We start from the raw sequence: 26,493 nt of genomic DNA, 5'->3' as shown, positions 1-26,493 counted from the left end.
TAACTTCAGACAAAACAGACATTAAGCCGACAAAGATCAAAAAAGACAAAGATGGGCATTACATAATGGTAAAACGTTCAATTCAACAAGAAGACCTAACTATCCTAAATATATATGCACCCAACATAGGAGCACCCACATTTATAAAGCAAGTTCTTAAAGACCTTCAAAGAGACTTAGACTCTCACACAATAATAGTGGGAGACTTTAACACCCCACTGACAGTATTAGACAGATCATTAAGGCAGAAAATTCACAAAAAAATTCAGGAGCTGAACTCAGCACTGGAACAAATGGACCTGATAGACACCTACAGAACTCTCCACCCCGAAACAACAGAATATGCATTCTTCTCATTGCCACATGACACATACTCTAAGATAGATCACATGATTGAACAAAAAACACTCCTCAGCAAATACAAAAGAACTGAAATCATAACAACCAATTTCTCAGACCACAGCACAACCAAATTAGAAATCAAGACTAAGAAATTCACTCAAAATCATGCAATTATATGGAAATTGAATAACCTGCCCCTGATTGACTTTTGCGTAGATGATGAAATTAAGTCAGAAATCAAGACGTTCTTTCAAACTAATAAGAACAAAGATACAGCATACCAGAATCTCTGGGACACAGCTAAGTCAGTGTTAAGGGGAAATTTATAGCACTAAAGGCCCACATCAAAAAGTTAGAAAGATCTCAATTTAACAACCGAACATCACAACTAAAAGAACTGGAGAACCAAGAGAAAACCAGCCCCAAAGCTAGCAGAAGACAAGAAGTAGCCAAAATCAGAGCAGAACCGAAGGAGACTGAGACGTGAAAACCATTCAAAAGATCAACAAATCCAGAAGTTGGTTTTTTGAAAAAGTTAATACAATAGATAGACCACTAGCTAGACTAATACAGAAGAAAAGCGAAGATCCAAATAAACACGATCAGAGATGACAAAGGAGATATTACCAGTGGCCCCACAGAAATATAAATAACCACCAGAGAATATTATGAACACCTCTATGCACATAAACTAGAAAATCCAGAAAAAATGGGTAAATTCCTGGACATATACACCCTCTCAAGACTGAGCCAGGGCCAGGCATGGTAGCTCATGCCTGTAATCCCAGCACTTTAGGAGGCCAAGGTGGGTGGATCACTTGAGATCACGAGTTTGAGACCAGCCTGGCCAACATAGTGAAACCCCATCTCCACTAAAATATACAAATTAGCTGGGCATGGTGGTACATGCCTGTAATCCCAGCTACTCAGGAGGCTGAGGCAGGAGAATTGCTTGAACCTGGGAGGCAGAGGTTGCAGTGAGCCAAGATTGCACCACTGCACTCCTGCCTGGGAGACAGAGCAAGACTCTGTCTCAAAAACAAACAAAAAACAAAAAACTGAGCCAGGAAGAAATGGAATCCCTGAACACACCAATAATGAGCTCTGAAATTGAATCAGTAATGAATAGCTTACCAATCAAAAAAAGCCCAGGTCCAGATGGAGTCTCAGCTGAAGTATATCAGATGTAAAAGGAGAACTGGTACCATTGTTGCTGAAATGATTCCAAAAAAATTGAGGAGGAGAGACTCCTCTCTAACTCATTCTATGAAGCCACCATCATTCTGATACCAAAACCTGGCAGAGACACAGCAACAACAACAAAAACTTCAGGCCAATATCCTCGATGAACATCGACACAAAAACCCTCAACAAAAGACTGGCAAATGGAATCCAGCAGCACATCATCAAGCTTATCCACTATGATCAAGTAGGCTTTATCCCTGGCATGCAAGGTTGGTTCAACATACACAAATCAACACATGTGATTCATCACATAAACAGAACTAAAGACAAAAACCATACAATTATCTCAATAGAGTCAGAGAAAGCTTTTTATAAAATTCAATACCGCTTAATGTTAAAAACTCTCAATAAACTAGATATTGAAGGAACATACCTCAAAATAATAAGAGGCATCTCTGACAAACCCACAGCCAACATCATACTGAATGGCCAAAAGCTGGAAGTATTCCCCTGGAAAACCAGCATGAGATAGGAATTCTCTCTCTCACCATTCCGGTTCAACGTAGTATTGGAAGTCCCAGCCAGAGCAATCGGGCAAGAGAAATAAATAAAAGGCATCTTGTCCAGGCATGTGGCTCACTCCTATAATCCCAGCACTTTGAGAGGCTAAGGCAGGTGGATTGCTTTGGGCTCAGGAGTTTGAGATCAGCCTGGGTAACACAGTGAGACCTCGTCTCTACAAAAAAAAAAAAAAAAAAAAAAGCAAAAAATTAGCTGGGCATGGTGGCTTGCATCTGTAGTCCCAGCTCCTCAGGAGGCTGAATCAGGAGGATCACTTGAGCCCAGGAAGTGGAGGTTGCAGTGAGCTGAGATTGCATCACTACACTCCAGCCTGGGTGACAGAGTGTCTCAAAAAAAAAAAAAAAAAAAATTAAAAAGGCATCCAAATAGGAAGAGAGGAAGCCAAACTATCCCTGTTTGCAGACAAATGATCCTATATCTAGAAAACCCCATAGTCTTGGCCCAAAACTCCTTAAGCTGATAAACAACTTCAGCAAAGTCTCAGGATACAAAGTAAGTTTGCAAAAATCACTAGCATTCCTATACACCAACAAGAGTCAAGCTGAGAGGTAAATCAGGAATGCAATCCCATTCACAATTGCCACAGAGGAATAAAATACCTAGGACTTCAGCTAATCAGCGAGGTGAAAGATCTCTGCAGGGAGAATTACAAAACACTGCTCAAAGAAATCAGAGATGACACAAATGGAACAATATTCCATGCTCATGGATAGGAGGAATCAATATTGTTAAAATGGCCATATCACCCGAAGCAATTTATAGATTCAGTGCTATTCCTATTAAACTACCAATAACATTTTTCACAGAACTAGAAAAAACTACTTTAAAATTCATATGGAACTGAAAATTAGCCTGAATAGCCAAGGCAATCCTAAGCAAAAGAACAAAGCTGGAGGAATCATCCTACCCAGCTTCAAACTATACTACAGGGCTACAGTAACCAAAACAGCATGGTATTGGTATAAAAACAGACATATTATGGTCTGTATAGACCAAAGGAACAGAATAGAGAGCCCAGAAATAAGGCCACACACCTGCAACCATCTGATCTTCAACAAAGTCAATAATAACAAGCAATGGGGAAAGAACTACCTATTTAATCAATGGCTCTGGGATAACTTGCTAGCCATATGCAGAAGGATGAAATTGGTCCCCTATGTTTTACCACATACAAAAATTAACTCAAGATAGATTGAAGACTTAAATGTAAAACCCCAAACTATAAAAACCCTGGAAGACAACCTAGGCAATACCATCCTGGACATAGGAAATGACAAAGATTTCATGATGAAGACACCAAAAGCAATAGCAACAAAAGCAAAAATTGACAAATGGGACCTAATTAAACTGAAGAGCTTCTGCATAGCAAAAGAAACTATCAGCAGAGTAAACAGACAACTTATAGAATGGGAGAAAGTTTTTGCAAACTATGCATTTAACAGAGGTCTAATATCCAGCAGCTATAAGGAACTTAAATGACTTTACAAGAAAAAAACAACCCCATGAAAAAGTAGGCAAAGGACATGAACAGACACTTTTCAAAATAAGGCATACATGCGGCCAAGAAGCATATTAAAATAAGCTCAACATCACTGATTGTTAGAGCAATGCAAATCAAAACCACAATTAAATGCCATCTCACACTAGTCAGAATGGCCATTATTAAGAAGTCAAAAAATGGCCAGGTGCGGTGGCTCACGCCTGTAATCCTAGCACTTTGGGAGGCCAAGGTGGGTGGATCATGAGGTCAGAAGTTCAAGACCAGCCTGGCCAGCATGGAGAAACCCTGTTTCTACTAAAAATACACAAATTAGTTGGGCATGGTGGTGTGTGCCTGTAGTCCCAGCTACTCAGGAGACTGAGGCAAGAGAATTATTTTAACCCAGGAGGTGGAGTTTGCAGTGAGCTGAGATCATGCCACTGCATTCCAGCCTGGGCCACAAGAGTGAAACTCTCTCAAACAAACAAACAAAAAAAGTCAAAAAATATCAGATGCTGACAAGACAAGGTAGTAGAGAAAAAGGAATGCTTATACACTGTTGGTGGGAATGTAAATTAGTTCAACCACTGTAGAAAACAGTTTGGCAATTCCTGAAAGACTTAAAAACAGAAATAGTATTTGACCCAGCCATCCCATTACCAAGTATATACGTAAAGGAATGTAAAGTATTCTGTCATAAAAATACATAAATGTGTATGTTCACTGCAGCACTATTCACAATAGCAAAGACATGGAATCAACCCTAATGCCCATCAATGGTAGACTGGATAAAGAAAATACGGTACATATACACCATGGAATATTATTATGCAGCCATAAAAAGGAACGAGATAATATCCTTTGAAGGAACATGGATGGAGCTAGAGGCCATCATCCTTAGCAAACTTAGGCAGGAACAGGCACCAAATACCGCATGTTCTCGCTTATAAGTGGGAGCTAAATGATGAGAACACATGGACACATAGAGGGGAATAGCACACACTGGGGCCTATTGGAGGTTGGAGGGTAGGAGGAGGGAGGGGATCAGGAAAAATAAGTAATGGGTGAAGGGGTGGCCTGCCCCTCCACACCTGTGGGCATTTTTTGTCAGGTGGGATGAGAGACTGAGAAAAGAAGACACAGAGACAAAGTATAGAGAAACAATAGTGGGCCCAGGAGACCGGCACTCAGCATACCAAGGAACTGCTCTGGCACTGGTCTCTGAGTTCTCTCAGTTTTTATTGATTGTTATTTTCATTATCTCAGCAAGAGGAATGCAGTAGGAGAGCAGGGTGATAATAGGGAGAAGGTCAGCAAAAAACATGTGAGCAAAAGAATCAAGGGGAGGTACTATGCCTGGATGTGCACGTAGGCCGGATTTATGTTTCTCTCCACCCAAACATCTCAGTGGAGTAAAGAATAACAAGGCAGCATTGCTGCCAACATGTCTCGCCTCCCGCCATAGGGCGGTTTTTCTCCTGTCTCAGAATTGAACAAATGTACAATCGGGTTTTATACCGAGACATTCAGTTCCCAGGGGCAGGCAGGAGACAGTGGCCTTCCTCTATCTCAACTGCAAGAGGCTTTCCTCTTTTACTAATCCACCTCAGCACAAACCCTTTACGGGTGTCAGTTTGGGGGACGGTCAGGTCTTTCTCATCCCACGAGGCCACTTTTCAGACTATCACATGGGGAGAAACCTTGGACAATACCCCACTTTCAAGGGCAGAGGTCCCTGCGGCTTTCCGCAGTGCATTGTGCCCCTGGTTTATTGAGACTAGAGAATGGCGATGACTTTTACCAAGTATACTGCTTGTAAACATTTTGTTAATAAGGCACGTCCTGCACAGCCCTAGATCCCTTAAACCTTGATTCCATACAACACATGTTTTTGTGAGCTCAAAGTTGGGGCAAAGTGGCTGGGACAAAGTTACAAATTAACAGCATCTCAGCAAAACAATTGTTCAAGGTACAGGTCAGAATGGAATTTCTTATGTCTTACCTTTCTACATAGACACAGTAACAGTCTGATCTCTCTTTCTTTTCCCTACAAGTGGGTGCTGGGGCTTAGTACCCGGGTGATGAGATGATCTGTACAATGAACCCCCACGACACAAGTTTACCTAGATAATAAACCTACACATGTACCCCTGAACTTAAAATAAAAGTTAAGTGATAAAAGAAAAGCAAGTGCTTAAATCAAACGCTGTCAGGAAAATAGAAACTTTAATGCCTTTTAGGTCATGTGATTGATAATCTTTGAAAAATAAAGACTGTTAAAAGATGATTGCTGGGAGGCTTACCCATTTGGTCTAAATTAGGAATGCTTAGTACCATTTGCTAGATACTTTAAGGCCATAAGCTGCTTCTATGACTTTTAATAAGTGTTTGACTTGTCTGTTTTATAGCCATTAGATTCTAGGGAAGGCCTGGGGACACATGGAGTTAGCTAGGTCCCCTGGTGAGGCTGGGAAGAGTCACACATTATCTGCAGCAATCTCCTTGCCTGGGCTCTCCAATCTTATACATGGTGAAAACTGCTTCCTTACTAGGTTTTTCAGCAAAAATAAAAGTTGCTAAGAGTTAACAGCGTAACACATACTTGAGACTACTGGAGAAACAGATTTACATGCAAGGTGTAGAAGGGAAGTAGAATGTGTTCTTTGTAAAAGGTTATAAGAAGGCTTGGAAATATGTGTTTTTTTTTGTTTTTTTTTTTTGTAAAACAGAATGTAATTTTGTCTGCTGCTGCAGAGATTTTTAAGGGTTGCCCTAACCTAACAGAGAAATGGGACGAAACTGAAAGTTTAAGCAAGTCGTGAAGGGTTTGTGAAGGGTTGATCTTGTTCAGGATGTTCTGTGGATATGAGCAAGTTGGCTAGGATTTAAAGGGGATGATTTAGTTTTCCGTAGGTTGAACATTGAAATAAAAGCACACTGATGCAGGGTCAGTATCCGGGCCCGTGTGTTTGAATAACAGGGCTTTCTTAGCGAGCTGATCTGCTGTTTAACAGAAAATTATAAAACATTTATGGAAATTTTGTCTTATGTTCAAAGTAAGATTGGATAGACTTGTTTGTAAGGTTTTATTAAGAATCAGATTTGGCCTGGCGTGGTGGCTCATGCCTGTAATCCCAGCAATTTGGGAGGCCTAGGTGGGTGGATCACCTGAGGTCAGGAGTTCTAGACCAGCCTGGCCAACATGGTGAAACCCCATCTCTACTAAAAATACAAAAATTAGCCGGGTGTGGTGGTGGACGCCTGTAATCCCAGCTACTTGGGGGGCTCAGGCAGGAGAATTGCTTGAATCCAGGAGGCAGAGTTTGCAGTGAGCCAAGATCGCGCCATTGCATTCCCGCCTGGGGGACAAGAGTGAGACTTCGTCTCAAAAAAAAAAAAAAAAATCAGATTTAACATTAATAGTACATTAATGGAAAGGTGAAATTTGGGTTTCCTTTTTGAACAAGATTTTGATGTAATAGTAAAAGAGAATGAAATATTTTTGTTTGCCTTTTGAATAACAGCAGGAAAAAAGGGAGGGAAAGAGGGGACATTCAGTTGGCCTCATGCCATCTTTTTTGGGTCCTGTTTGGAAAGGGGAGTCTCCCCTCTGTCAATGAGTAAAGATTTTCCCCTTTACTTATAGTGACCTGGACTTTCATGTTGTAATATCAAATGTTTGATTAAACCTTTGATATCTGACAAACTTTCCAAAGTCAAATTCTAAAGTTAGCCTTTTTTTTTTTTTTGGAGACAGAGTCTCACTCTGTCACCCTGGCTGGAGTGCAGTGGCGCCATCCCGGCTCACTGCAAGCTCCGCCTCCCAGGTTCACGCCATTCTCCTGCCTCAGCCTCCCAAGTAGCTGGGACTACAGGCACCCGCCACCATGCCTGGCTAATTTTTTGTATTTTTAGTAGAGACAGCGTTTCACTGTGTTAGCCAGGATGGTCTCGATCTCCTGACCTTGTGATCTGCCTGCCTCGGCCTCCCAAAGTGCTGGGATTATAGGCATGAGCCACTGTGCCCGGCCTAAAGTTAGCCTTTTTAAAAATCTGGTAAAAGTCCAAAAGAGGCATATTTGGTTTATTTGGTAAAATCATACAGGAAGCATTGTCAAGTATGAAACGGTATTTGGCTTTATTTGGGCTGTATTTGTATGAATATGTTATTAGTATATGTTCCAAAATTGTGTAAGATTCCTGTAATTCAGATATATCTCAGTATGTGTTATCAGTAATAATTAGGATTGTTATGTGAAATTATTGTGTACCACAGAGATGACCAGACGTTAACTGTGGCCGTTCTGAGATTTCCTCATCCACAATTGTTTTACTTTATTTTCAAGGTGGTTTTATAATCAGCTATAGGACTCTGACAGGTGCTCTTGAAGGCAAGTTTCTAAGAACTTTGGCAGTTGTGGCATTAGAATAGAGGAGAAACTTCCAAGACTCCCACAGACAGCTAATGTGTTCCTGAATATTGAGCAGAACAGAAGTCAATTACATAGACTGAACTAAAGGAAGACGGGAGTAATCTTTTCATTGCTTTTTTGTTTGAAATGTTGCTCATTCTTTTGTTTTTCAGAGTCTAGAAAACCTTTTTTTTCTTTTGAGCTGTTTATAGCTTTTTTTTTTTGGCTTGTGAAGGGCTTTCGTTTGTTTAATACATCTGAAAAGAATGCATATACAAAAAATTGAGATATGAGAAGGCATTGGTTTAACATTAATGAATCTACAAGAATTAGGATTGGGAAGGTGGAAAAGATTACCTCAACATTTTAAGAAATTGGAAACTGCAACCAAAATAAGCTGATAAAATCCCTATTAACACTTATGAAAAGTCTTCATAAGACTCTTTCCGGTAGGGCGTGGTGGCTCACGCCTGTAATCCTAGCACTTTGGGAGGCCGAGGCAGGTGGATCATGAGGTGAGGAGATTGACACCATCCTGGCTAACACAGTGAAACCCCGTCTCTACTAAAAATACAAAAAAATTAGCCGGGCGTGGTGGTGGGTGCCTGTAGTCCCAGCTGCTTGGGAGGCTGAGGCAGGAGAATGGCATGAACCTGGGAGGTGGAGGTTGCAATGAGCCGAGATCATGCCACTGCACTCCAGCCTGGGTGACAGAGCCAGACTCCAGCTCAAAAAAAAAAAAAAAAAAAAGACTCTTTCCATGATTTTTATTAAACTAGAGAGCCTCACCTGGCTGCTGTAGGGTTCCTCATATGCAAAACAGAAATAAGGGGACTCCCCTGACTGGTCCCCATGTTGTTATGTGTTCTCCCCACCCCCAGCTTCTTAATGAAGAAGGCCTCTATCCTCCTAATGAAAGGATGTGAATCATTCCACAGATGTCTATCTTCTAGCACCACCCCTGGTATTTCCTCTACATACCAGGTCTTCAGCTGCATTCTAGGAACACCATATACTACTGAGCTGCAAATCGATGCTAAGCATGTGAGACAATGACTGACAGGGAAAAAAATTTTTAATTACAAACTCAATTCATTTGGTGCATTTCAAAGGTGCAATACTTTTCTTCATTTATTAGTGAAAGAAGTTAGAAATTAACTTCCCCCCAAAATCAGCAAATGGCAAACAAATGTCTTTGAAAGTCACAGTCACATATAGTGTGTCCTAGAAAAGAGGAGGGGCAAGACAGGCTCCACCCACTTTCATGAGTTTCATCAAATACTGGATCTACTCAAAGGTGGAGAGAAAAGGCAACTTTCAAAAAGGAGTCTGTTATTAAATGAGGCATTTACTATACTCCTTCCTGAGAGCCCCAGGTGGGGAACATGTTTTCTAAACCATATCTAGGAAGTGGAATGTGGAATCAATCCGTCCTCCTCCCCTAAGGGCTATCCACTGGTTAATGAATTAAAAAAAAAAAAGGACTAAAAAATAAACCCCACACACACTCCTCCCAAAGAAAGAGGAGACACACACACACACACACACACACACACACACTAAGATCTCCCAGATTACTCTCCAGAGTGGAACCAGGGAGCAGCTTCAACAATTCCAATTAGTCTGTTACAGAGTCATCCACAAGCATGCCTTGCTTTTAAACAAAAAAATTTTGAAGCAACAAAACAAAAACTTGTACTAATCACTTTTCTGACAATACGCAATTACTCAAAATTAACTAGTACTGGGAGGGGGAAGAGGGGGCCATACCTATGGACCTTGTCTCACACGAGTGCATGTGGGTAGGTGCAGGACATTTGTCATTATTGCAAAAACGAATTTTAATTTTTAATCTTTAGTTTGAGTTAAACATTGCTTTTAGTATGATGCTGACACCAGCTGTGCAGAAAGGGCTCTGGAGAGATGTTCCTAGCAGCACACACCTGTGGCTCTTCTTCAGTTCTGGAGGCTCCAGGGAAGCCAATATTGCTTCATCAAATACATTCCTTAGGCCTTTCTGTGTGAGTGCAGAACACACCACATACCTGACAGCCTTCAGGTCACGGATCAGCTTTTCAGCAGTCTCTGGAGTGGTGGGCTTCTGTTTGTTCTTGGCAAGTTTCTCAATAGTAGAGGGGTCATCTCTGAGATGAATTAGGGTCCCAACAAGCAAGAAATGAGTCTTTGGACAGTGGTGAGTTATCTTAGACACCCACTTTCCTTTCACATTTTCAAATGAAGATGGAGAGACCACTGAAAAACAGACTGGAAATACATCTGTTTGTAGATAACTCAGCGGTCATAATCTGTCATCATCGTCTTGCCCTGCAGTATCAAAAAGTCCAAGAGTATATGTTTCTCCACCAATCATAACAGTGACTGCATAGTTGTCAAAAACAGTTGGTACATATTTTGATGGAAATTTGTTTGTTGTGTAGGATATCAGGAGACATGTTTTACCAACAGCACCATTGCCCACAAAAACACACTTAATTGTCTGCATTGCTGAAATAAGTTTGTATCCACTTTAAATATTTCAAATCTGATGTTGACCTCAGCTTCTTCACTGGGGCATTAGCAGCACTCTACAGCTTTTCACAACTGGGTAAAGTACCCTCCTGTGAGTAAACTCTGAAGTACATTTCTGTCTACCTGATTTCTGTAGAAATTTGAAAACTATTTGCAAGTATACTTAATTTACGGCAGTATAGTTATTTGCATAAGTTCAATAAGAATGTATTTTCTTTTGTAACAGGACATAATTGGAGACACTGGTTATTTTACCAAAGCTTTGACCGGAAGGATGTACTTTTGGATACAAACAGACTGCTTTAAGGAGTCAAAGCTGACTTATGAAGTTGGCCTCATCCCTTGTCTACACAGTCACTGTACAGAGTTCCTTGCCTGTAGTATGTAAAGAATGTCACTTTCTGACAGGCTCAGGAGCCCCAAATTATCCTGGGACCTTGAGGAGAGGACATTGCCCAATTTATATAGGTATTTTCAGGCACCAATAAATCATGGCTGGGCTCAAGGCTTTAAAAAAAGTCAAATCTGGGATTCGTTATAGAATAAAGTTCCAGCAAAGCCAATTTTAAGACAGGCCTATATGGCAAATAATTATTCGTGCTGACATTATGCAAACACTCAGGCCAAGTATAAGATGAAAAATTATTTTAAATAAATTTGTCCTACTATGATTTGTCTTCAGTAAAAACAGGTACTGGGCTGGGCATGGTGGCTCACAGCTGTAATCCCAGCACACTGGGAGGCCAAGGCAGGCAGATCGCTTGAGGTCAGGAGTTTGAGACCAGCCTGGCCAACATGGTGGTGAAACACCATCTCTACCAAAAAATATAAAAATTAGCCAGGTGTGGTGGCATGTGTCTGTAATCCTAGCTACCCAGGAGGCTGAGGCATGAGAATTGCTTGAACCCAGGAGGTGGAGCTTGCCTGAGTCCTGGTAAGGCACAGACAGAAAGGGTTGTCAGCCATTTTTTTCTGAGGTTATAAGATCTGCAACTTCCCCAGTTATTCCTGCAGATAACACCACTATTGTAGATTGGCTTTTTGAGAAATCTTTTCCAGTGTTTGTGCATGACCGTGGCTCCACCTGGACCCACCTGGACCTGCCAATCCCACTCGTGTGACCCCACCCAGAAGTGACTCAGTCCTTAGGACTCAGCGTTGACCCCCTGTGATTTCATCTCTGCTCTAAGCAATCAGCAGCAAGCACCTATTACCTGGCCTCCCCAACTCCTTCCCCTAAAACTGTCTTTGAACAACCCCTAACCTGTGAGTTTTGCATGAGGTTGTTTGAGTGCTAACTCCATCTCTGTAGCGTGGCCAGCCTTTTGTCTATTAAACTCTTTCCTTATTGCAATGCCATGGTCTTTCTTTATGCAGCAGGCAGGAAGAGCCCCTTCAGTGTTTACAAAGTCTTACCTGCACAGAGAGGTCCCAGAGAGGCTGGCTGGGCACTGGGGATCTGGGGCTACCGTTGTTGATGGTCAATGAGACATGGAGTGGGAGCCTCCCACCCTGACATACCTAAAGAAGACACCACCTCCTATTTGGCAAAAGGTCCTTTCTTCCCACCAGCCTCACACTCCTGGTCCTGACGGCCACCTCCTACCGTGCTAGGGTCCCACACCCTGGGCTTCCTCCACACCAGTCAGTGGTTGGTGTTGGTGGGGAATCTTAGAGTCACCCTCTCAGACTCCCACTGAGGGGGACTGGTCTCCCTGTCCCTGGGGCTAGCCTGGAGCTGGGCCTGCCAGTGGTCACCTGTCTGAGCATGGGTTAGGAGGCTGGGAGGGCTGCCCACCACTCCAGGGCCTGCCTCCAGCTGCCTCCAGTTGCCTCCAGCTGCCTCCAGTTGCCTCCACCCTCAGGCACTCCTGGCCCCATGGTGCTTGAACAGGGCAGGGCAGGCTAGCTGGCTGAGGGCAGGGGGTTCCACGTCAGCGTTCTGAGGACTAAACTCTGGCCCTTTTTTCTTCTTTTGCCCAAATTCCTACCTAAGAGGCCTGGGGAGTGTGCCCTACAGACCGTAGAGTCTCTCAAATGGGTTTTATTTAACCCCACATAACACGGCTGCCTTTCCAGCCTGACTGTGGTGTAGCATCACATGACGGACAAGGAAGGAAATGAGGTATTTTAAATGCATATACGTTTATTTGCCATATCTTGAAGTAGCCGTGCAAAGTTGTCTCTTGTGGGAGAAACATCTACAGTCTGTAGAGAATCCCCTTCTTCTGAGGCCTTTTTCCTGACCCAGGAGAGAATCAGCTAAGGGACTGACACCCTTTTAGATCTGATAAGAAACATTTACATTCCATTCTCCCTGAAGCCTGCTATCTGGAGGCTTTACCTGAATGAGAAGAATCTTGGTGTCGCAATCCCTTATCTTAACCCAGACATTCCTTTCTATGGATTCCAAGTCTTTTTTTTTTTTTTTAGACAAGTCTTGCTCTGTTGCCCAGGCTGGAGGGCAGTGGCGCGATCTTGGCTCACTGCAACCTCTGCCTCCTGGGTTCAAGCGATTCTCCCATCTCAGCCTCCTGAGTAGCTGGGATTACAGGTGTGTGCCACCACACCCAGCTAATTTTTGTATTTTTGTAGAGATTTCTACAAAAATGTCAACACGGGGTTTCACCATGTTAGCCAGGCTGGTCTTGAACTCCTGACCTCAGGTGATCTGCCTGCCTTGGCCTCCCAAAGTGCTGGGATCACAGGCGTGAGCCACTGAGCCCAGCTACAAATGATTTTTTTTTTTTTTTTTGAGACGGAGTCTTGCTTAGTCACCCAGGCTGGAGTGCAATGGTGTGATCTTGGCTCACTGCAACCTCCACCTCCTGGGTTCAAGTGATTCTCCTACCTCAGGCTCCCAAGTAGCTGGGATTACAGGCACCTGCCACCATGCCTGGCTAATTTTTGTACTTTTAGTAGAGATGGGGTTTCACCATGTTGGCCAGGCTGGTTTCGAACTCCTAACCTCAGGTGATCTGCACGCCTTGGCCTCTCAAAGTGCTGGGATTACAGGCGTGAGCCATGGCGACCAGCCATACAAGTGAATTTTTAAAGGCAAAAAGGGGGCAGAGTGTGGCTGATATAACGTTGTTTGTCAGGAATTCTGATTGGTTCACAGAAGTGACATTGCTGGGTGATTGGCTGGACATGGTTAAGCTCCAGGGTGTGGGTTTTCGTTTCCAGTGTGGCATTATCAGGTGAATTCATAGCTGCTGGCAATGGCAACCACCGGAGATGAGTCCATAGCTCAAGGTAGTAGAAGGAAGCACCTGCTGTCTCATGTCAGTATCTCTCTGGGCCTGATAATAGAAAAAGACTCACATTTCTCAGATAATAGTTCTTTTCTTTTCTCACTCCCAGCAGGGTGAGTGGCAGCCTGCTTCCCAGACACCATTGGGCACACAGCCAATTGGAGGGGGAGAGGACCCTGCATTTGAAGCAGGAGCTGGCCTCTGTTGATGCAGGTTCAGTACAGCCCCAGCCCCTTCCTTCCTGCTTGCAGGGACACAGAATCCCTGCAGTTCCCTTTTCCCTGCCCCCACCCACGCCAGCTGGGCTCTGCTATGGCTCAGGGTGGCTCCTCCGGGTCCGCTCTGGCCTTGGGAAGACCCTGCAGGCTTCCTGTGGCTGCTCTCCCCACAGTGCTGACCCCCAGCACCTGATGAGGATGGTTTGCTTGGCCAATCTGTAATCAAGCTTCTGAACCTTCCCCCAGGCCCATCTGTGCCTTTCCTCTACGATTCAATTTTAGCAAGAATCCTGCTAAGTCAGTTTAGCCCAAAACCTGCAGCCTCGATGTCTGATCCCTCTCACGTCTGATGGGGTTTCTCATCCTTTACCCAGGGCCAACCTGGGAGACTGAAGCAGGGGTCTCCATCAGCTGAAGCTTGTTGAGCCACAGCTTGAGGGCATGGTCGGGAAAAATGTGGGCCCAGAAGCTTCTGTGGCCCGTGTCCTCTGAGGAGGTCTGTAGGGGGCTCAGTATAAACACGTTTCTTTAACCGGGAGAAGGAGCGCAGGAAGAGGGGGCAGGCGTTTAGGCAAATTGGTTTCATTAACGAGTGCCCAACAGTAATCCGTGGGCAAACATTGCTGGGGATGAGGGGAGGCAAAGGAAGAGTTAATCCTGCTGACCTCTGGTCTCAGGTAGGCAGAGGAATCTCACCTGGCCTTTGTTCTGCACCTGGGAAGGTCCGCTTGGAATCCAGCTTGTCGGTGTGCATTCTAACAGACTAGCTTTGGGGACCGGGTGTTGCAGGCTAAAGTTGCAGTTGAGGTGTTCTTTTCTTGTTTATGGAAAGATAAACATCTTGGAAGGTTGGGCCAGCAAAGAGTGCTATGAATGTGGAGGCTATGGTCGGCCTGGGGCCCTGCCCCTCTCCTCAGCTCCTGGGGGCTGTCAGAACACCCGGTGCTTCCAGTTGCTCAGGGAGCGCCCAGGGTCACTGCTTTGTTCTTGGAGGCCTTAGCTGCTCCCTGCCTTGGGCCTGCTCAGGGGCCCCAGGCCTGCCCAGCAAGTCTCCCCAACTGGAGTCTTGGGGTTCCTTTCCTCTAGAAGGCAAATCTGCTCTTTGGAGTTTCCTGGGGTTGGGAAGAATGCCCGCCTGTGCTCACCTGCTGCTGTGGGTGGAGGCTGTGGGTGGAGGCTAGGGAGGCTGTGGGTGGTGGGTGGAGGCTGTGGGTGGTGGGTGGAGGCTGTGGGTGGTGGGTGGAGGCTGTGGGTGGAGGCTGTGGGTGGTGGGTGGAGGCTGTGGGTGGAGACTGGGTGGAGGCTGGGTGGAGGCTATGGGTGGTGGGTGGAGGCTGTGGGTGGAGACTGGGTGGTGGGTGGAGGCTGTTGGTGGTGGGTAGAGCCTGTGGGTGGTTAGAGGCCATGGGTGGAGACTGTGGGTGGTGGATAGAGGCTGTGGGTGGTGGGTGGAGGCTGTGGTTGGAGGCTGTGGGCGGTGGGTGGAAGCTGTGAGTGGTGGGGTGGATGCTGGGGAGGCTTTCCTGGACAGAAAAAGCGCTGAGTAGCACCCCTGAGGCGCAGCGGGAGAAACCTCTCTTTGTGCGGTAGCCAGGGGCGGGACAATGTGGGGTTGCCCATGTAGGTTATGAGACTGGAACCACATATTCCAAACACGGGTTTCACGAGGCCAGGCCCAGTGCACTGTGAACCCATCCTTACACACACACACACACACACACACACACACACCACAAATGCATACCTACCAAACGCATAGACACACAACACAAATGCACACCTACCAAACACACACACGCACACCTACCACACACCCATACACCCACATTGCACACACATGCACACCTACCACACCCCCACACACATGCACCCCTACCACACACCTACACACCACACACATGCACACCTACCACACACACACCACACACATGCACACCTACCACACCCACACACACCACACACATGCACACCTACCACACACCCACACATTCACACCACACACATGCACACCTACCACACACACACACCACACACATGCACACCTACCACACACCTACACACACCACACACATGCACACCTACCACACCCACACACACGCACACCTACCACACCCACACACCACACACATGCACACCTACCACACCCACACACCACACACATGCACACCTACCACACACCCCCACACATATGCACACCTATCACACCCACACACCCACACCACACAGATGCACACCTACCACACACCCACACACCACACACATGCACACCTACCTCACACCCCCACACACACCACACACATGCACACCTACCTCACACCCACATACACACCATACATAAACGTGCACGCCCATCATACCCACACACTGACACACACATTTGTGCACGGGCACACCACGCACACCACAGCACATCACATGCATGCATGTGTACACACGCTCCCCCCATGCATGGACGTGCTGTGAGCCTGGGAGCCAGGCTCTTGGTGCACTGTGTCAGGGGTGTGTAAAATGAAAGCTTTTTGAATTAGACACACAGGTGGCCATTCCAGAGCCCTCCTGTGCACATGTCATGTCGCGTTCAGTCACTTAGCGCTGTGGACGTCCCAGCTCAGAGACGGCAAGGAGCCCTGCATGGGTTCGCCCGCGACGGCGTGCTGGCTTGGTTGAGACTCAGAGGCTGGGATGTCCAGAGGCGGCCCCACTACATCCATTCTGCCCTCTGTGGGCACACCTTGCTCTCCCGCAGAGACTAGAAAGCCAAACACGTTTCCCAAACTCCTTTCAGCAGAGTGTCTGGAAGTGGCTTCGGTGCTGTCGAGCGATGCTAGGTTTATGGTTTGGAAGGAGGGCGCTCCTGTCTCTGTCGGCGTGCGACACATCCCCAACTTACAGCTGAAAACAGCCATCTTATTTTGGTCATATTTTAGGGTGAGGAATTCGGGGAGGGGTCTTTGGGGCAATTCTTTCCTGAGTCTGTCATATGAGTGTGTTCAGAAGTCACTGGGCTGTGAGTCCAAGATGGGACACCCATGAGGCTGGAGCTCTGGCGGGGCTGTTGCCTGGACGCCACACATGGTGTCTGCAGAGTGGCGCTCACAGGGTGCTGGGCTTTTCCGCATGGGGCTGGTCTCCTCTCGTGGAGCCTCCGAAGATGTCAGGTGGGAGCTGCAGGGCGTTTCTGACGTGGCCGCAGGAGCCCTGTGCCTCCACTCCCTTCTCAGACCTCACCTCTCCGTGGGACAGCCCCACAGAACTTGCAGAGCTGTTAAAGGCTGTTGCAGAGGGAGGTGGCACCCTGGGGGCCGCAGCAGCCCGGGGAGTGTGGCTCCCCCGCAGGCGTGGAGACTGGGCTCTAGGTGTTTCTGGGGCAACTCAAGCGGAGATTCTGGAGACGCTCACATCTGCTGGAATGCAGGCTTTTCGTTCGTAGAAACAGCAAGCGGCCATGAGTGTGATTAATTGGGAATTGGAGGTGAGTAGAGGGTTTCACGGTCTCCTAAACCAACCTGAGGAAACAGGTGGTCATTGTTGGCATTTAACTGTGAGTATTTCCAAAGCCCGCCGTAGATTGAAACTCACTGCCGTAGCTGTGCAGGGTGTGGACAGGATGGGGATGGGGGTTGGTCTCAGTAGGGAGGCAGGGTCCCCGTTTTTACTAACATCAGATTTACAGGATCAGCTCGACAAACAGACTGCTTTTTTCTGGCTGGCTGAAAATAAATGGGAGAGAGAAAATAAAACAATACTGGTGCATTAGTTATCTATTGTCACATTAAAAGAATTGCTCTGAAACTTAGAGGTTTACAACGTCAAAAAGCATTTACGATCGCAGTTTCTGTGGGTTGTTCAGAAAAGCCTGCTGGGTGGCGCTCTGTGGCGAGCAGGTCTATGCCACTTACCCACAAAGGCTGAGGGAGCTGAGAGGCTGAAGAAAAAGGCCGACAAATCCTGTTTCTCAGAAAGAAACATTCAACAGTGCGATGGGAGCAGAAGCCACGGTGCGGGCGGCCGCGAGATCCATGCATTGCTACCCGCGGACCCAGGGCTTAGGTAGCAGAGGGAAAGGGAGCGGGAGCTTCAGAAGGATGTGTAAGACAACTGGCCTACCCCTCAGGAAGAAGCAAGAATGCCGCCTGCTGGTCCACCCTCAGGAGAAGGCAAGAATGCCACCTGCACCGCAGCCTGTAACTCGCTTAAGGGCAGGATTTTGTGTTTACAATAACATTAAGGTTGTTTTGACCTAAGGACCCAGAACTAGGGTTCATCGGAAGTCCACATGGCGGGTCAGCATCCAAGATGGAGTCATTTTAGCCTTCGCCACAGGTGGTTCCGGCTGCGTGAGGCTAGATGTTGTCTGGGGTGAAGTGGTCCGAAGGCTCGGCTAGGGCTGGAGGACCCATCTCCTAGATGGTGCACTGTGCTGCCGGCAGGCAGATGCTGCCCTTTGGCGGGAGGCCTTGGATTCTTGGCACGTGGTCATCTCTGCACGTCTTCGCTGAGTGTCCTCATGGGTGGCCTCTTCCTCCACGCAGGGATCCCAGAGAGCACAGCGGAGGCTGCAGTGTTCTTTGCAGCCTCATGTCTGAAGTCACACAGTGTCACTCTGCCACATTCCATGTGTGGGGTGTGAGCCTCTAAGGCTGATTCTGCCTTTAGAAAGGAGGGGTATCAAAGACGTCGGAACATATTTCAACAAAGACATGACTATAAAAAATAAAATGATTAAGTGAATTATATCATATGTATAATTTTATGGCAAGAAATGTGAAAATTGAGAGGAAATACATTACCAGAATAAGTGGAAAACTTGGGTAAATCAAAAAAGGAAGAAATTGGCAAGTCCATTTAACATTTGTTAGTGCAAAATGTGCCAACACCAAATGGTTTTAAAGCTGACTTCTTCCTCATTGGTAAGGAACAAGTTCTTCTAGTATTTTAAAAAATATTCCAGAAAATAGAAAAAGGTGAAAATTTTTCCAATTCATATTATATAGCTAATGTAACTTCGTATCAAATTTTGATATAGTATGAGAAAAATATTCCAATTTATTTTGTAAAATGGACGCAAAAATCCAAATAAAATATCATAAATTTGTACACAGTCATTTATTAAGGAACAGCACACCATAGTCAAGCTTTGATTGCATACATGTAACAGTGACTTGATATTAGGAAGCAGAATATAATACATTACATCAGTACACTAAAGTACACAAATCATGTAATTATGTTGTAATTAGTGAAAAAAGTACTTGACGAAATTTAGCAGTCATTTCTCATAAAATCTTCTATTTAAAATAAAAGGGGGCCGGGTGTGGTGGCTCACGCCTGTAATCCCAGCACTTTGAGAGGCCAAGGTGGGCAGATCACTTGAAGTCAGGAATTTGAGACCAGCCTGGCCAACATGATGAAACCCATCACTACTAAAAATACAAGAATACAAAAATTAGCCGGGCGTGGAAGCACATGCCTTCAGTCCCAGCTACTCGGGAGGCTGAGGCAGGACAATCGCTTGAACCTGGGAGGCAGAGGTTCCAGTGAGCCGAGATCACGCCACTGCATTCCAGCCTGGGCGACAGAGTGAGATTCTGTCTCAAAAAAATAAAGTAAAATAAAATATGGAATTTAAATAATGCACCTACAAATCACACCTACTTTTTCAAAAAGGACAGATAACATATTAATTGATGAAATATTAGTGATCAGCATTAAAGCTGCGAAAAAGTCAGGGATGCCTGTCTCACTGCTACCCCTCAACCTGCATTTGGGGATCCTCATGGCAGATGAAGGCAGGCAGATGCAGTAGAGATTGTGCACGGTAGGCCAGAAGTGCTGACATTCTCCCCTCCCTGCAGAAGACAGGGATGCCCATCGAGAAGATCCAAAAGCTTCATTCATCTGATAACCTACAGAACCAATAAGATGCTTTGAGTAAGTGATTGAACATATAAAATTGCTTTTATGTACTGGCAACAACCAGTTATCATAGAAATTGAAATAATAACAATGAATTCTACATGTAACAGAGTCAAAAGCAACAAAATAATGCCTAAGAATATGTTTAATAGATGGCAAGATGACGAACCAGCACTGGCCACCGGCCCCTTGCCCCAGATCAACCCTGGGCAACGGCAGAAGGACACCCTGCCTAGCCCTCTTGGGGGTGGGGCTGGAGGCCAGGCTGGACACCCATTATATAGGATCTGAAAGTTCTTCTGAGGTAGGGCACGGCACACTGACACTCCAGAGATGAAAAGCAGAGCACTCTGTCACTTACAGCTCCAAACGAGGAAGGCGTCCAGGCAGGGCTGCATGAGGCACCCGGGGACAGGGTAGCAGACAGCTGGGGCTGCCGGGTGGCTGGTGTGTGGACAGCAGGTGGGGTGGCTGGGTTTCTGGGGCTCCCTGTGGATTGGCTAATTTGGGTGATTTTGAGCTCTGGGTCACAGGGCTGTCCCTGATAGTCTGGCCCTTGGCCCTGGGGCAGATTTGGACAAATGTGCAGTGGCCTGGAGTGTGAGGGGCCAATGAGGAGGTGGTTGGGTGTGGACTTAACTGGCTGCTCAAGGAGGGAACTGACCGGCCTCTAGGGCCTCAAAACTGGGTCAAGACAGCACATCAGTAATAATAAAACCCAAGATCACCCCACCAAGGCCAGGAGGGCAGGGTGTGTCCCAGAATGGAGGCGACTGGCCCCGGCACAGATGCACCTGCTGCCTGTGGGGTCAGGGTGTCTGCAGGCACTTCCCGATATCCACCCCTTGGATCTCTGGGTCTCACCTCCAGGGACCCAGCCTTGGTGCACAGACCTGCCTTGGCTGAGCATTAGAGCTTCCTGGGCTCGCACTCTGTTGTGTTCTGACTGCCCCACAGCTTTGCCCATCCTCTGCAGGGGCCCATGCCTTCACACTTGTCCTGACGCTTATGCACCTCCTGGTGTTCTCATTATCCCCTGTAGGGTTAGTGTGACTTGATGACGGCTAGCGCATGGCTGTCCCTATAGGCATTTGCCCCCAAGACCCTCCAGGCCGCTTAACCATCACATGGGCTAAAGCATAGTCCTTCCCGGGGTGCTTGCTCAGGCCACCGCCAGTGAACCCTCCGTGACCAGCCCCTGCCTTGAGCCAGGGACCATCCAGGTCCCACCTTCCACTCCAGGTGGCCCTCCCTTGCCAGGCAGGCCATGGCTGGCTGGTCTCAAAATCCCACTTGCTGTCTGCTTTCTCCCTTCCCTTTCCTCCCCCTCCCCTTTTTTTTGAGATGAAGGCTCGCTCTTGTGCCCCAGGCTGGAGTGCAATGGCACGATCTCCACTCACTGCAACCTCCGCCTCCCTGGTTCAAGCGATTCTCCTGCCTCAGCCTCCCGAGTATCTGGAATTATAGGTGCTTGCCACCACGCCTGGCTAATTTTTGAATTTTTAATAGAGATGGGGTTTCACCACGTTGGCCAGGCTGGTCTTGAACTCCTGACCTCAGGTGATCCGCCCACCTCAGCCTCTGAAAGTGCTGGGATTACAGCCGTGAACCACCGCGCCCGGCCTTGCTGTCTGTTTTCTTGGCCCATGGCCTGCTAGGACCCAAGAAGGATGTTGCATAGAAAGAGTTTCCAACTTCAGCACAGTTCTAAAAAAGCCTCAGCCAGCCATCAGGTTGCCTTCAAGCCAAAGATGCCCACCAGAGGACTCTTGCCATGGGCAGGAAAACAGCCAGCTCGAGTACCCTCTCTTGCCCTGTCCTTGTCGGGAGCAGCTGGAGGAAGCCCCAGGTTCAGTCCAGCCAAGGAGGTTCCTCCTGCACCCTCTTGGAGAGAGGTCTTGTGGCCACACGCAGCCAGCAGGGAGCAGCTGTGAGCTGCAAGCATCAGGAATTCATGCCAGTCTTTGCTGCCTTTATCCCTTGCGTGTTAATGTACTTGTAAAATCTCTCCTAGGGAATGCAGCCAGTTCACCTCTCAGCATCCCAAGTGGGAAAGGAGAAAAATCAGCTGGCCTGTCCTCATCCCCGGTCCCTGGGGGATCTGGGGGATAAAGAATAGAGGAGCTGCCAATCCTAGAGAACACTGGCTGTCCCTGTGTCCCTTCTGAGATGGGAGAGGCCATGTGGGGTGAACTTACAGGCTTGGGCTTTTGAAACAATTCAAACGGTGAGGCCTCACCAGTAGAGGGCAGAGAAACTACGGCAAGTTCTGGATTTTACCTTGAGTACTGCTATTATTTATTTATTTATTTATTTACTGAGATGGAGTTTCGCTCTTGTTGCCCAGGCTGGAGTGCAATGGCGCAATCTTGGCTCACTGCAAACTCCGCCTCCCAGGTTCAAGCGATTCTCCTGCCTCAGCCTCCCAAGTAGCTGGGATTACAGGCATGCACCCCCATACCCAGCTAATGTTGTGTGTGTGTGTGTGTGTGTGTCTATATATATACGTATATATATATACACACATATATATATATACGTGTATATATGTGTGTATATATATGATACGTGTATATATATATATATATATATATATATATATTTTTTTTTTTTTTTTTTTTTTTTTTTTTTTTTGTAGAGACAGGGTTTCACCATATTGGCCAGGCTGGTCTCGAACTCCTGACCTCAAGTGATCCCCCTGCCTTGGCCTCTCGAAGTGCTGGGATTACAGGTGTGAGCCACCACGCCCAGCCTTGAGTACTATTATTTAATATCCTTTGAAATAAAAGATAAAAGAAGAGAGAATTTTAAGAGGTTTTCATTTTTGACAAAAGTTTGAGCTAGAAGATACTTGAAAAAGTTGAATTCTTTGAAAAGTACGCTGAATTTACAACAAGCAAAGGGGAATCTGGGGGGTGAATTGATACCGCACAACAAAGAGGGCATTGGGATCCAGGACCGTTTGCCTGCAGCGTTGCAGGGGTCTGGTGTGCTTAGCCAAGGGTCTTGGGGACAAGCTCTGGCCTTGGGGGGCGTAAAACTGAGACCTTGCAGGAAGCAGGACTTTGGAAGGGCCACGCTGTCTCTGCAGGGGGGACTACAGAAACCTCTACCCTGCAGAACAGGGAACGAAAAGGGATTTTGCCTGTATCGGCCTGGCTTCTGGGTAGGAAAAAAAACAACTGCCCTGAGATGTACACACAGGCCTGAACTTCAGATGGCTTTGGGGTTGGAGTGGATGCTGCCTGCATAATTGCAGAGGTGCCAAGCCAATAAATCACACCAAAGTGTGGTCTTGCCTTAGTGACATCCCTGCGGCTCCTGGGGAAAGAAGATGAGACCTGGATATGAAGGGAAAGGAATCCCCTGAAATAGGGGCTCCCAGAAGACAGCTTCAAGATTCATGATTTCAAAACTCATTAGGTAACACACCCACTGAGGGCGACATGTTGTAGGCACAGCAAAGGGCAGAATTTGTTCCATGAGACCGCGGAATAATAGCACTTTGGAGAGGCACTGCATGATACATAGTTTTAAATAATTGGAGACGTAAAAGAATAAACTGGGAGCCTGGGCGCAGTGGCTCATGCCTGTAATCCCAGCACTTTGGGAGGCCAAGGCAGGCTGATTGCCTGAAGTCAGGAGTTCAAGGCCAGTCTGGCCAACATGGTGAATCCCCATCTCTACTAAAAATACAAAAAAAATTAGCCAGGTGTGGTGGCGGGCGCCTGTAATCCCAGCTACTTGGGAGGCTGAGGCAGGAGAATCTCTTGAACCCAGGAGGTGGAGCTTCCAGTGAGTTGAGATCGCACCACTGCACTCCAGCCTGGGCGACAGAGCGAGACTTCATCTCAAAAAAAAAAATAAATAAATAAACTGGGAACAAGATAAAATAGACAAGATTCCAAGGTATAAAAACAGGAGTATTTGAAAGAAAAAGCAAACAATCATGTGAGTTCTTGTATTAAAAGCTACATGTTTATTTTCTGTGCAGGGAAGAGTGTATCACAGCCATTGGGAACTTTCTTCACCCATCAAAGCCTCAGGGCTGAAGCATCCTGAACAAGAACTCAGGAGAGTGAAAGAAACAGTTACCTGTCGGCTGCAGCTGGTACCAGCTCCCCACCCCGTACAGAGACCGAAGCGTCCTCTCTCTCCCCATCACCCAGCACCAGACTCTGCCCCGCGACCTCAGCCTGCACCTGCTTCCTGGCTCCATCCAGCCTTCCAGCCTCACTAGATCATCATGGGCCACTGGCCAACACACAGGGCAGTGCCGAGCCCAGGCCGTGGTCACACATGGCTGGGTTAGTAGCTGAAAACATTGTTTTTCACTGGCCTCACAGTAATGGCACCTGCCCCCATTTTCTGTGATTGAATTTTTGGATCCTGCTACCAGGTTATGATAGATTTTATGGTATGTCTCAAGATATTGAGATAAAGGTAATAAAACAGCTATAAAGTCCTGGCTCAAGAAGTGTTACAAACCCAAGCAGGGTAAATACAAGAAAACTGCACCCAGACACAACATAGTAAAATTGCTGAAAACCAAAGATGAATAGAACACTTAACAGTTGGAGGAAAAAAGCCACATTACCTTCATAAGGACACCAATCACACTAACATCTGACTTCGAAATAGAAATATAAAAGCCAAACTACAAGGGAATGTGATCTTCAAAATATTGAAAGAATTTAATTGTTAAGTGAAATAATTAACTGCCAACCTAAATTCTATTCCTAGTGGAAATACTCTCCAAGAATAAAGGTGAAATAAATACAGACTCACACAAGAGAAATCAAGAGCGTTCTTCCTCAGGAGACATGAGCTGATTGGTATAGAAGAGGTGTTTGAAACGTCCTTAGAGGGAGGGCTAGAGACACAGGGAGGAGAAACCTTCAGAACACACCTTCCATTGAGGGCCAAAAAAGTCAACTATCGATTCTTTGAAAGTGCCCCAAACTCGTAAATCTCTGGTGATGCTGACCAAAAAAACAATGAAGGAAGGCACCCTGTGATGGGGAAGGAAAAGGGGAGATTGCTGGAGATCTGTGGATATTAAAAATAGGCACATATACACTATGGAATACTATGCAGCCATAAAAAAGGATGAGTTCATGTCCTTTGTAGTGACATGGATGAAGCTGAAAACCATCATTCTGAGCAAACTTTCGCAAGGACAGAAAACCAAACACTGCATGTTCTCACTCATAGGTGGGAATTGAACAATGAGAACACTTGGACACAGGGTGGGGAACATCACACACCGGGGCCTGTCGGGGGGTGGGGGAGGGGGGAGGGATAGCATTAGGAGATATACCTAATGTAAATGATGAGTTAATGGGTGCAGAACACCAGCATGGCACATGGATACATATGTAACTAACCTGCACATTGTGCACATGTACCCTAGAACTTAAAGTATAATGATAATAGAAAAAAAATAGAGCACAAGGAACATGCTAACAAATTTGAAAGTTTTGATGAGATGGAAAAATTCCTAGAAAATTATAACTTACCAAAACTGAAAGAAGAAAGATAAATGACCCCACATTTGTTAAATAAATTGGATCTGTCATGAAAATATTTCACACAGTGGAACCTCTAGTCACAAATGCTTCACCAGTGAATTCTACTAAACATTTAAGGAATAAATAGCACCCATCTCACACAAACTCTTCTAGAGCCGAGGCATAATGGGAACAGCAACTCCACCTGTCATGTTTCACCTCCAGGAAAACGTGATACCCAAACTCAACAGAGAAAAAATAAACTTACAGACCAGTCTCACTCATGAACATAAACAGAAATCCTCAACAAGATATTAACATATAAGACCTGGCAGTTGGCCAGGCGTGGTGGCTCACGCCTGTAATCCCAGCACTTTGGGAGGCCGAGGTGGGTGGATCACGAGGTCAGGAGATCGAGACCATCCTGGCTAACATGGTGAAACCCTGTTTCTACTAAAAATAAAAAAATTAGCCAGGCGTGGTGGCGGGCGCCTGTAGTCCCAGCTACTTGGGAGGCTGAGGCAGGAGAATGGCGTGAACCCGGGAGGCGGAGCTTGCAGTGAGGCGAGATCACGCCACTGCACTCCAGCCTGGGCGACAGAGCGAGACTCTGTGTCAAAAACAAAAAACAAATAAACAAAAAACCCTGGAAGTATGTAATGAACATATTAAATTGAATCATCTCTCTCTCTCTCCTCCTGCCTCTGTGTGTGTGCTTGTGTGTGTATATATATATATATTTCTACAAACCAATGAAAAAATGACCGGCAGCCTAGGAGGCAATATGCGTAGAATTGAACAAACACTTCACAAAAGAAGATGTCCCGTGGCCAATAAACATGAAATGGTGACCAACCTCATTAACACCAGGGAAATGCAATGCAAAGCAGAAGATACATCAGCACATTCATCAAAATGTAGAAAATTGAGGAGACCAACCACACCGAGCATTGGGGAGGTTGTGGGGCCAAGAGAGCTCTGTGCACAGCGGTGGGGAGGGCACACGTGGAAGGTCCTCCCATTGCCTGCGAGATGGCAGGGCTGGAATGTCTGTGCTGGCTTCCT

The 26,493-nt window shown here is 46.2% G+C and overlaps 1 long non-coding RNA gene and 1 pseudogene across 2 annotated transcripts in view, besides 3 other annotated features; one reads left to right on the top strand and one right to left on the bottom strand.

Annotated features, from left to right (window-relative positions):
• Positions 1-24,383, top strand: part of LY6E-DT (LY6E divergent transcript) — a 36,360-nt gene extending 11,977 nt beyond the window's left edge. Inside the window, exon 2 of the long non-coding RNA NR_026913.1 lies at positions 23,913-24,383. This is a non-coding gene — a long non-coding RNA (LY6E divergent transcript). The remainder of the gene's footprint in view (positions 1-23,912) is intronic.
• CDC42P3 (CDC42 pseudogene 3) lies at positions 8,751-10,586 on the bottom strand (annotated as a pseudogene). The gene has a single exon (NR_102426.1). The product of NR_102426.1 is annotated as a CDC42 pseudogene 3 (transcript).
• Positions 13,604-14,111: an enhancer, noted in NCBI's record as "H3K27ac-H3K4me1 hESC enhancer chr8:144073720-144074227 (GRCh37/hg19 assembly coordinates)". NCBI's record gives its function as "activates a minimal SCP1, AML or CMV promoter by ChIP-STARR-seq in primed H9 embryonic stem cells {active_cell/tissue: H9 hESC(primed)}" and the evidence as "EXISTENCE:reporter gene assay evidence [ECO:0000049][PMID:30033119]".
• Positions 17,177-17,678: an enhancer, noted in NCBI's record as "H3K4me1 hESC enhancer chr8:144070153-144070654 (GRCh37/hg19 assembly coordinates)". NCBI's record gives its function as "activates a minimal SCP1, AML or CMV promoter by ChIP-STARR-seq in primed H9 embryonic stem cells {active_cell/tissue: H9 hESC(primed)}" and the evidence as "EXISTENCE:reporter gene assay evidence [ECO:0000049][PMID:30033119]".
• Positions 24,065-24,195: a silencer, noted in NCBI's record as "fragment chr8:144063636-144063766 (GRCh37/hg19 assembly coordinates)". NCBI's record gives its function as "represses an EF-1alpha promoter that drives an FKBP-Casp9 reporter gene in an ReSE screen in phorbol 12-myristate 13-acetate-treated (for megakaryocytic differentiation) K562 erythroleukemia cells {active_cell/tissue: K562(+PMA)}" and the evidence as "EXISTENCE:reporter gene assay evidence [ECO:0000049][PMID:32094911]".
• Positions 24,384-26,493: the final 2,110 nt, after the last annotated feature.

The sequence above is a fragment of the Homo sapiens genome, chromosome 8, assembly GCF_000001405.40.
Source record: "Homo sapiens chromosome 8, GRCh38.p14 Primary Assembly".
In the NCBI taxonomy this organism is placed as follows: Eukaryota; Metazoa; Chordata; class Mammalia; order Primates; family Hominidae; genus Homo; species Homo sapiens.
Note: the sequence above shows the minus strand (reverse complement) of the source record. Positions and strands in the feature narration are given on the sequence as shown.